General features: G+C 37.3%; 1 protein-coding gene across 18 annotated transcripts in view, besides 1 other annotated feature; it reads left to right on the plus strand.

Moving 5' to 3' along the window:
* Window positions 1–11726, plus strand: part of ZCCHC7 (zinc finger CCHC-type containing 7) — a 237983-nt gene that overhangs the window by 28805 nt on the left and 197452 nt on the right. The window lies entirely within an intron of this gene.
* Window positions 802–1303: an enhancer, noted in NCBI's record as "NANOG hESC enhancer chr9:37149770-37150271 (GRCh37/hg19 assembly coordinates)". NCBI's record gives its function as "activates a minimal SCP1, AML or CMV promoter by ChIP-STARR-seq in naive H9 embryonic stem cells {active_cell/tissue: H9 hESC(naive)}" and the evidence as "EXISTENCE:reporter gene assay evidence [ECO:0000049][PMID:30033119]".

The raw sequence follows: 11726 nt of genomic DNA on the forward strand, positions 1-11726 counted from the left end.
GGTAATGAACTGTGAGTTTATTAAATAGAGGGTAAAAGTTCTAAATACATTCTGAACATAAACTAGACCCGTTAAAGTGGTTTGTGTTACAACCTACTCTATAGTGTCCTATACAGTAGTCAAAGCTTTTGTGTAATTGATTACTTCTGTGGTCCCAATGTTAATTTCTGCTTATAGTTTTGTAATAGCTTAATTTCATTAAAGTTAATTAAACATAGATTATCTTGTACAGTATGGTATAGAATTTTGTTCCATAAATTGGGAGAAACTCATAAGGAATAAATAAGTACTCTTTAATTTATAGTTCGGTGTTTCCAAAGAAATTTGGGCTTCACATTGGGTGAATTCATCACGATAGATTTAAGAATATCTGTATTGAATATCCCAAACATTGTACACTTTTGGGGGAACATCACTGAACAATATTTTCCTTTCCCACTTATTTTTTTTTAGCAGAAAAAAATACCCCCCTGTCCCCAACAAACAAAACTGATCAAAGTAAGAATTAGATCATGGCTTTCAATTCCTTAGACATTTTTTGAAGTCTCTCCAGGCTTTTAAGATGAGGAATTCCTAGGAATTACTATTCTTACTGGGGAAAAAGACTATTTTGATTACAGAGAGAAAATTAGGTGACATTTGCTCACATTATACATAGAATAGAATGATTCTAGTTCATCTGTAGATTCTTATTATAGTGTTTCGCATGTAATATATGCTACTTTAGGATAATATTTTATTACTGTTTGAGGTTCTTAATAGTTCATGTGTCAGCTTGCCTTTATATAAAAGTCTATGTAAGTTGCTTTGACAGACTTTAAATAAAAATGGGAAACACATAAATGCAGTGTTGCCATGTTCTCTTTTGTTTTGAGCAATTACAAGCATTTCTCATTTCCTGTGCACAGAAATTCCCTGAAAAATCAAGACGCTGCTAAAAGAGTCAAACTCTGAAAGAAATCCCAAAGATACATCACTGCTTGACGCAAACATTTTTAAGAAGTCACTGATTATAATGAACACAGCCTTTAATGGCAGTTTTTCATCTCCTTTTCACAAGAATGTGACAGAGTGTCATTAAGGTTTTAGAAATGAATGCTCCTAAGGAAAGGAGGATCACTAGGACTACAATGATGCTCAGTATGTGGCCATGGGATTCTCTGTTGGGCTCTTTTTAGGTTTTTAATCAGGTTGGAGAAGGGAGTTAGAGAGGAAAGGAATAGGAACAGACAAGAGCTTTAGGACACCTGTACACCACAGTATTTTACTTTCTCATTGATCTTCTAGATGTTGAATCCGTAAGGTTTAATATAGAAAGTCAAACAAGGTTCCAAATATTTTGAGGACCAGTAAACAAAATCAGCTCTAACTATATATATGTGGAAGCACATAATTTTTGCATTTAACTTAAAGTGTTTGGATATATTAAATCTGAAATTTCATTTAAATAGTAATTCCAGTTCTGCTCTAAGGATATTGTTTTAACCCATTGTTCTTTTCTATGGTGACAGTGATTGCCCTTGATGTATTCTGCAGGTCAGTCAGATTGTATCACAGAAGAGGGCACATAATAAATGTGAGCCAGAAACAGCTATGTCTCAGTACAGGAACAGAAAAGCATATTTTTGCATCACACATTAAAATAACACCCAGAAGGCATTGCATCACATATAAATGTAAATCTTTTCTAGAGGGGTGTAGCATGGAAAGAAGGGTTCAGCCAAAATGTCCTCTTAAGTTTTTTAACAATAACAAACACTATAAAGCTCATATTTAATGAGTAATAATTAATGTCTATGAAGTTTGTTTTATGAGTTTTTAAAATTACAGAATATTGTAATAAATAATGTAAAATATTACAAAATATGCTGTGCTTGAGAAGATATTTTTCCAGGTTAGAAAGTTACAGTTTTTCTGAGCAGGTGTTTTCTGTGAATCTCTGTAGCATTGGAATTTATAGAGATATAACTTTTCTATTTCTGTGGGGTTTTTTTGTTTTTTTTTTTTTTTTGAGACGGAGTCTTGCTCTGTTGCTCTGGCTGGAGTGCAGTGGAGCCATCTCAGCTCACTGCAAGCTCCGCCTCCCGGGTTTACGCCATTCTCCTGCCTAAGCCTCCCGAGTAGCTGGGACTACAGGCGCCTGCCACCACGCCCGGCTAATTTTTTTTGTATTTTTAGCAGAGACGGGGTTTCACCGTGTTAGCCAGGATAGTCTCGATCTCCTGACCTCGTGATCCACCCGCCTCGGCCTCCCAAAGTGCTGGGATTACAGGCGTGAGCCACCGTGCCCGACCGATTTATCTATTTCTTTTTTCCATTTGAAGTCAGAAAGAAATTGCTAGAATCCTTCAAGTCTTTCTCAGTGAGAGTAAACCTTTTCTGTATATAAAACGATCATTCTGTATACTTCATTTTACTTTGAGTTTTTTAGACATTAAAGCTGACACTGGAAAGGGTAGCTTTTATTTTACTTTTTGACTTAGCTACTTAGGTTGTATGAACAATTATAAAATCATCTTCATATGTTAAATCTGTAACAAATTCTTTTTCTGGCTGGGTGTGGTGGCTCACGCCTGTAATTCCAGCACTTTGGGAGCCTGAGGCAGGTGGATCACCTGAGGTCAGGAGCTTGAGACCAGCCTGGCAAACATGGTGAAACCCTGTTTCTACTAAAAATACAAAAATTAGCCTGACGTGGTGGTGCACACCTGTAATCTCAGCTACTTGGGAGCCTGGGGCAGGAGAATCACTTGAACCTGGGAGGCGGAGGTTGCAGTGAGCCGAGATTGTGCCACTGCACTCCAGCCTGGACAACAGGGTGAGACTCCATCTCAAAGAAAAAAAAAATCTTTTTTCTTCGACTCTAAGATGATGTTGAGGCTTTTTTGAGCTCTGAATGTAAACTTAGATCCTGTGGGTTGTTTCTTAGTATACTTTCTGGTAGCTCAGTGCTACATTAGCAGTTCTTTATTTTGGCATTGTATTTCCTCACACAAAGTAAAAAGTCTCATAAATCTTCCTCCTTTTAAAAAAATGAATTGAGACCAACAGTTTTCTAATCTGATCTGGCAACCTGGGCTTCAGTAAGGGCAGACTAACAGTAATGGTAGTATGTAGTAGAAAGAGATTGAAAGAATTTCTCTCCCTGGAGTGCTCTAAAGAAAGATTTCCAAATAGCTATAGAAAATTAAATAACTTGCTTTGAATTAGGTAGGAAAATAAACTTGAACTTCCCCCTTTCTTCATTTGTGTTTTGTTTGCTGTTTTTTGTTTTTTTTTTTAATTTTAGAAAAATTGGTTTACAGAAAAATTGCAAAGATAGTGCAGGGAGTTGTCATGTGCCCTGTATTCAGTTTTTCCCATTAGTAGCATCTTATATTAATTGGCTACATTTGTCAAAATTAATGCATCAATATTAACGACTTATTAACTAAAGTCCATACATTATTCAGATTTCTTTAGTTTTTACCTAATGTTCTTTTTCTTTTCTAGGATCCTGTTCAGGACACCACATTACATTTAGTTGTCATGTCTCCTTAGGCTTCTCTTGGCTGTGGCAGTTTCTCAGACTTTCCTTTTTTTTGATGACCATGTCAGTTTTGAGGAATGTTAGGTATTTTATAGAATGTCCCCAAATTAGGATTTGTTTGATGTTTTTATTATCATTAGACTGCATGTATGGGTTTTGGGAGGAAGACAGAAATAAAGTAGCATTCTTATCACATCAAGTATAAAATGCTATCAGCATGATTTGTCATTGATGTTAGCCTTGATTACCTTGCTGAGGTCGTGTTTGTCTGGTTTCTCTACTGTGAAGGTATTCTTTTTTCCCCCCTTCTTCCCAAACAGTATTCTTTGGAAGGAAGTCACTATACACAGCCCATACTTAAGGAAGAGAGTGTTATGCTCTACCTTCTTGAGGGTGAAATATCTATAAAAATTATTTGGAATTCTTCCTATGGGTGATTTGTCTGTTCTTGCCCATTCATTCATTCTTATTTGTATCAACTTGTGGATATTTACTTTACATTTTGGGTTATAATTTAATAGTACTTTATTGTGTTGCTTAAATTGTTCTAGCTTTGACCTTTGGGAGTGCTTTCAGTTGGCTCCTATGTTTCTTTAATATACTCCTATCTTTTTTCCTTAATTTTATTTTTTAAAATTTTATTTTTATTTACTATTATTATTGATTGATTGATTGATTGATTGATTTAGAGATGGAGTCTTGCTCTTTTGCCCAGGCTGGAGTGCACTGGTGTGATCTCGGTTCACTGCAACCTCCGCCTCCCAGGTTCAAGCAATTCTCCTGCCTCAGCCTCCCAAGTAGCTGGGATCATAGGTGCCCGCCACCATGCCTGGCTAATTTTGGTATTTTTAGTAGACACAGGGTTTCACCATGTTGGCCAGGCTGGTCTCGAACTCCCAACCTCAGGTGATCCGCCAGTCTCAGCCTACCAAAGTGCTGGGATTACAGGTGTGAGCCACCACACCCTGCCTGTTGTTATTATTTGTGGTTATTTTTTAGGGTCAGGGTTCACTCTGTTTCCCAGGCTGGTCTCGAACTCCTAAGCTCAAGTGATTCTCCTGCCTCGGCCTCCCAAAATGTTGGGATTAAGGTATGAGCCACTGCACCTGGCCTTTCTTTCTTTCTTTCTTTTTTTTTTAAACATCAGATAGTGGAGCAATAATATTGGTCATCAGTGTTTCTTTTCTTTTTTAAAGCACTTCGTTACTTCCTGGCACTGCAAGATGCTACCGCTCATCTTGTTTCTTTCTTTCCCCAGACCTAGAATCAGCTATTTCTGAAAGGAGTCCTGGTTTCTTTAATTGGAGAATGATATTAGAAACCAAAATCTGGGTGCTCAGTGTTTGTCTTAATATAGTTTGACTCAATGGATTGAGTCAAATCATAGGTAATTTTTGTTTGCTTTTGGAGACAAGGTCTTGCTCTGTCATCCAGGCTAGAGTGCAGTGGTACAATCACGGTTCATTGCAGCCTCAATCTTCAAGTTCTAAGTGATCCTCACACCTCAGCCTCCCAAGTAGATGAGACCACAGGCATGCACCATCATGCCCAACTAATTTTTTGATTTTTTGTAGAGATGAGGTCTCACTCTGTTGCCCAGGCTGGTCTAGAACTCCTGGCCTCAAGTGTCCTCCCGCCTCAGCCTCCCAAAGTAGCTGGAATTACAGGATGAGCCACTCCGCCTGGCTCTTTGGGGATCTTGATTACTCTTGAGAGTGGAGGGGTGTCAACTCTTCTTTCCTTCTTTATTACCTGTAATGAAAATAACAGTGCTTACCTTGGGGTTTGTGAGTATGAAATGAAATAATGCATGTGATGAACTTAACCACCATCTTGCATTGACTGTATTATTGCTAACCCATTTTGAGAGATGAACTGTTTGAATATCAAGGTGTCATGTAGGCAAGAATATTGTATAAATATAAGCTTGTTTAGAATTCTGTGTCATTAATTGCATTTACTCTATCAGTTAATTAGAGATTCTTTTTTGTTGGCTTTTTTTGAGACAGTGTCACTTCGTCACCTAGGTTGGAGTGCAGGGGTGCCATCACAGCTCACTATAGCCCCGACCTCCTGGGCTTAAGAAATCCTCTCACCTTATCCCCCAAGAGGCTGGGACTAAGGGTGCACACCACCATGCCTGGGTGATTTTTCTGTTTTTTGTTTTTTTTTTAAATAGGGACGAGGTTTTGCCATGTTGCCCAGGCTTGTCTTGAACTCCTAGGCTCAAGCCATCTATCTGCCTCTGCCTCCCCAATGCTGGGATTACAGGTGTGAGCCACTGCACCCGGTCGTTAATTAGAGAGTCCTGATCTCAGTTGGATTGTTTAAAAGTGAAAGTGAATGATGATAATATTTAGTAAAATCATCTTAATGCATTTTGACTTTTAACTTCTTCAGATTTTTATTAAAGTATAGAGAATTTAGATGTTTTAGAAAATCAGTGCAATATGTTTGGATTTTGGAAAACATGAAATTTACATAATTTGAAGACAAACCTCATTGCATTTAATATTCTGTTTCCACATTTGTGGGTGTTCTGGCTACACTGGTTATTGGAAGACATTTAAAGATGGCGGGCGGGGTGTAGTGGCTCACACCTGTAATCCCAGCACTTTGGGAGGCCAAGGCGGGCGGATCATGAGGTCAGGAGATCGAGACCATCCTGGCTAACACAGTGAAACCCTGTCTCTACTAAAAATACAAAAAAATTAGCCGGGCGTGGTGGTGGGCGCACGTAGTCCCGGCTACTCGGGAGGCTGAGGCGGGAGAATGGTGTGAACCCGGGAGGCAGAGGTTTCAGTGAGCCACCACTGCACTCCATCCAGCCTGGTGACAGAGCGAGACTCCGTCTCAAAAAAAAAAAACGGCAATTAAGATGACATTTAAATAATTCACTTAGTAATAACCAAGTCAACCAAATTGATATTATTAATATGTAGTAGTTGTGCTTTTAATATTACATTTGACAATAATTTTTTAATTAAATATATTCTAGTAAATGGTTTTGAATTCTAATTCTTTCTTTAAAATAATTCTTTCATATAAATACTTTTACATTTAAGTCCAGTGATTAGATATCTCATGCTGTTGACTAAGAACATTCAATCTTCGTAAACTGGCCATTGGTGTTCTGAGAAATTGAATCTTACAGAGTTCTTTAATTTTGAAAGTTTCTTGTTCTCAGATAATAGCCTTGTAAATGTCTCCAAATTTCAGAGTCCTATTCATCTTACCTAAAATACACTAAGCCTTTGTTCTCTTTAAGTAGTACAGATATCTTAGCAGCCGGTAATGGTTAAGGGTGTGAGTACAAGGAACATTCTGTTTTGGCCCTCTCTGTTGTGCATTGTAGATGCCTCATCACTTCATAAATATTTATTGAGTGTTTTTCTTGTTAAGCACTAGATAAACCTACAAAGGTAAATAAGACTAGAGTTCCTGACCTGTCAAGGATATCACCACCTGGTCTACCATCCATCTGTAGCAAAGTGACCCCAGCGTTCCTATGCTTACACTCTCCTTTTTGGCAGCTTGGCCATGTTAGTTCATGTGTGTTAGCTGTTATTTTTTATTTTTGCTTTTGCCAAAAATCTCAGTAAGCTAAACATTGGGATCAGATAGGTTTCATTCTTAGATTTCTTGATAGATTTCTTTGGTTTAAGTTATGGTTTGAGTTTGTTTCCCTTTTTCGTTAGTAAGGCCACATTTTTGTGAACATTTATTTGAATTAAATTTCTGTTTTCTTTGATTTAAGCCATTTTCATGAATTTTCTCCAGATGCGTGAATTGACATTAGATATCACATTTCTTTTTTAATGGCCATTATGGTTTAATATGTTGCTATTAAAAGGTTGTTTTAGCTGTTTTTCAACTCGTTTCATGATCTATGTGTAAGTTCCCAAAGGGAGAGATCATATTTTATCTTTTCCCGTAAACGCCACAGCATATAATAGAGTGCCCTGTATATGGCGGTTGTCAGTAAATGTTTGACTGGATTCTCTGAATGGAGTAAAACGGTTTTTAAATTCTTTTCATAGCAGGATAGCCCAAATGGCTATAAAAGAGGTCAAAAATTCTTTGTATAAATGTTTTTGACTTTTGGCTGAAACTATTAAATTCTTTATAAAATAAATCATCGTTAAAAAGATACCCACATTTATGTTATAAGCCAAACTCTGTTATTCTGGTAACTGAAAGTTTGTGAGCTTTTTAGATGGTTAATGGGAATGTTCAGATAGATACGACTTTGTCATCTATTGTCTCTGCATTTGTTAAAATAGTAATGCTATCACTTTCTTTAGCCTCTAAGTTAGTTGATATTTATTTACCCTTGTTACCAATGTTCTTATGTTAAAACATTCATTCATTCAATATTAACACCTTATTGTAGCTAGGTATTTTAATAAGTAAATTAACTTCCTGATGCAAGGAGTTGGTAGCATAGTACAGTGTAGTGTTTCACAAATATAACCTGTTGATCCTATAAGGTCAAAACTATTTTCATCATAGTAAGATGTGGTTTTCTGTTATCATTGTTTTAGTGTTTGTACTGATAATGTGGAAGCAAACACCAAAACAATGAAAACAGAAAACCACATGATGGGTAAAACTGCTGATGCCTCAGCATGAATCAGTGCTGTGACACCAGTCTGTACTAGTAGTCATTGTATTCTTCACCATCACAAACTTAGTTGAAAAAAAAAAAAAAAGGCGGCCGGGTGCTGTGGCTCAGTCCTGTAGTGCCAGCACATGGGAAGATAAGGAGGGAGGATGACTTGAGCCCAGGCGTTTGAAACTAGCCTGGGCAACGTAATGAGACCCTGTCTCTAAAAAAAGAAAATTATCCAGGTGTGGTGCTTGCCTGTAGTCCCAGCTACTTGGGGAAACTGAGGCAGGCAGATTCCCTTGAGCCCAGGAGGTCAAGGCTATAGTGAGCCATGATTGTGCCACTGCACTGCAGCCTGGGTGACAGAGTGAGACCTTGTCTCAAAAAAAAGAAGTTAACCTACAGAATGAGAGAAAATATTTATAACCCACGTATCTGATAGGGGACTAATATCTAAAATGTATAAGGAACTCATAATACATATTTGTAGCAAACCAAGTAACCCAATTAAAAAATGGGGTAATGGACCTGAACAGGCATTTTTCCAAAGGCATACAAATAACTAACAGATATGTGAAAAGGTGCTCAATATCACTTTTCAGGGAAATGCAAATCAAACCACAATGAGGTATCACCTCACACCTGTTGTTAGAATGGCTATTATCAAAAAGTAAAATGATAACAAATAGTGGTGAAGATGTGGAGATTGGGAACCTGTGTACACTGTTGGTGGGATTGCAAATTGCTATAGCTGTTACAGGAAACAGTATGGAGGTTCCTCAAAAAACTAAAACTAGAACTACTGTCTGATCCAGCAGTTCTGCTTCTGCCTGTATATTCAAAGGAAATGCAACTACTGTCTTGAGGAGATATTTGCACTGCCATGTTACGTTAGAGTATATACAGAATATACTTGGTAAGGATGTACTTCAACTGGTTGAAGCAGAAGTGAATGGGTGAACTTGAGTGTGGCCTGCCACTCTTGATTATTTAATATCCTGTAGCATCGGTATGTTTTATAAAACAAATTGAGAGCATTAGTCATTTTTAGTCAGTGGGTTATGTAGAGATTTGTTAAGAGAGCATTTATTGTGACAGTTTGAGTCTGTACAACATCCTTGCTTAGAAACCAATTAAAATGCCTCAAGGAATGGATACGTATGTAGTTACTTCTTCCCTTTCTAGATCCCAAATGTTAAAGGGTATTATATAGACCCAAGGAAGTTGTTTGGTTTTAAGCACTTAGCCCCATGTTGAACAACGACTCTAGGCAGACATACTTGATGAGTGAAGCAAAAGGAGGAAAAGCAAAAGTCAAAAATGGATTTTGATTATGGGTAGTGATCAAGGAATGGATGATGTGGGAACAGTGTGTAAGGAGTATCTGGAGGGAACATGAAGGGGAGTAATTGTGTCAGACAAGTTTGAGAGAGTCATTTATATGACATTTCCCCCTTGAGATTTTCCCTTTTATCTTGAATTTTGTATTACTGAAGATAATAAATGCATATATTTAGCTAATGTGAAACAAGTGTTTTCTCTGGTGGATTGACTTTTTTTTTTAACAAAGATATGTGTATTATATATAAAATTAATGTGGTAACCTTTTCATCTTATTCTCCTTAGAATCCATCAGTAGAAGAATTATTTTGTACACTATGTGTGAAAGATCAAAGAATATGGGGCAGTCACCAGTTGTTTACAACCTGGTTTGCAAGTGGCATAAAAAAATATTAGTTTGTCTGCTGAATAAAATTAAACTTATTTTTCTCTCTGTAGCATATTAATTGTATTATAGTATGCCACAGCCACTTCCAGTGCAATCCTCCTAGTCTTGGAACAGCAGCCAATTCCAGGAATTAAGAGAATTAGGTTACTTTGCCTAGTGGCACAAAAAATACCAAGGTATTAAATCATTGGCTTGTCTGTTTGGGGCACAATCAGAAATAAAGTTTAGAGATAAAAGTTGATTTGCATGCTGTTCACATTTGTTCATACTTTAACAGGTATGTTTTTCTATTTCTCTCCGATTTATATAATCCTTTTGAAACAGATTTTCAGTTGCTGTTAGGTCCAGAGGAACAGAATGTTAATAAAATTTTAGGTTAAAGACTAAATTCAGAATTCAACTACAGTAACTTGATGCTACTGGCTGTGACAACATTTTAATCTATCTTTGGAATATTTAAGCAAATATTAAAATATGTGGTTACCTAACATGGCTATATATTAAAATATAAATGTTATATTACCCTGTAACATTTTAAATGATTTACTAATCTATTATGTAAAGTAATATAAGAAGCCAGTTTAGTGGTAGAAATGTTAATTTTATTTTAACTTTAGTATTTCAAAACAAAGATGTTATTTTTGAACTCAAAGTGGTAGAAGCAGAGAGGAGGTGACAAACTGAGAACCTTTTGATTTTGTTGGGGTGGAACTTGGTCTGCTGTTATAGCTGACATTATTACTGTATCTCAATGATTTTTGAGATTTTGGGAAAATTGTTTTAATGTTTCACTCCCAAGCGCTGAAGATACTCCAGAAATCTTTGCCGTTCTGTTCCTATAACATTTGCTCTTCCATTTTGAAGCTACAACAGTGTAGGATATTTTCAGCTTTCTAGAATTCCTGTAGAACCTCTGTATTCTAAAATCTCCCAGGATTAAGGAGGAGAAAAATAAGCAGAAAGACATCAGAAAAACTAATCAGTCATTAGGTTCTCTGGCAAGTGAAAAATGGAATAAAGATAAAGAATGTAGTGGTTAATCAAGAGTAACCTGTTTATAACATAGACTAGGCTCAAAACTTAAACTTGAAACTTAACACAATAAATTAAACCATCTTTGTAAACAGTAGAATTTAAAGAGATTCCCTTAAACATTAAACATTAGGACCTTCTGTGGTGTCACCTTATTCAAACTACCACTGTGTTACCTCTTTTTGACTCTTAAGGCTGCCAGACACCCTACTTGAAGGATCCTGTTGGAACCTGTGGAAATAATACTTACAAGAACGTTGCAGCTAAGCTGGTCCGGGTGCAGTGGTGTTACAACTAATGGATCACAACCAGTCACGGATTTCTTTGTTCCATCTCCATTCCCACTTCTTCACTTGACTAGCCTTAAAAAGGCTCATGCCTGTAATCCCAGCACTAAGGGAGGCTCAGACAGAAGGATCATTTGAGCCCAGGAGTTTGAGATCAGCCCAGGCAACATAGCGAGACTTCATCTCTACTAAAAATAAAATAAAAAAATTAGCCAGGCGTGGTGGGGTGTGCCTGTATTCCCAGCTACTTGGGAGGCTGAGGCAGGAGAGTCACTTGAGTAATAATGGGGTTTGAGGCTGCATTAAGCTAGGATTGCACCATGGCACTCAAGCCTGGGCAACAGAGTGAGACCCTGTCTCAAAAATAATAATGTTGCAGCTAAAAGGTCCTAAAGCATTATGTGGGCCAGAATATCCCAAATCTAGTTGTATGTCACATTTAACATGGGCTGGGGGCAGTGGCTCACGCCTATAATCCCAGCACTTTGGGAGGCGAGGCAGGTGGATCACTTGAGGTCAGGAGTTCAAGACCAGCCCGGC

The sequence above is a fragment of the Homo sapiens genome, chromosome 9 (genome assembly GCF_000001405.40).
Source record: "Homo sapiens chromosome 9, GRCh38.p14 Primary Assembly".
Lineage (NCBI taxonomy): Eukaryota > Metazoa > Chordata > Mammalia > Primates > Hominidae > Homo > Homo sapiens.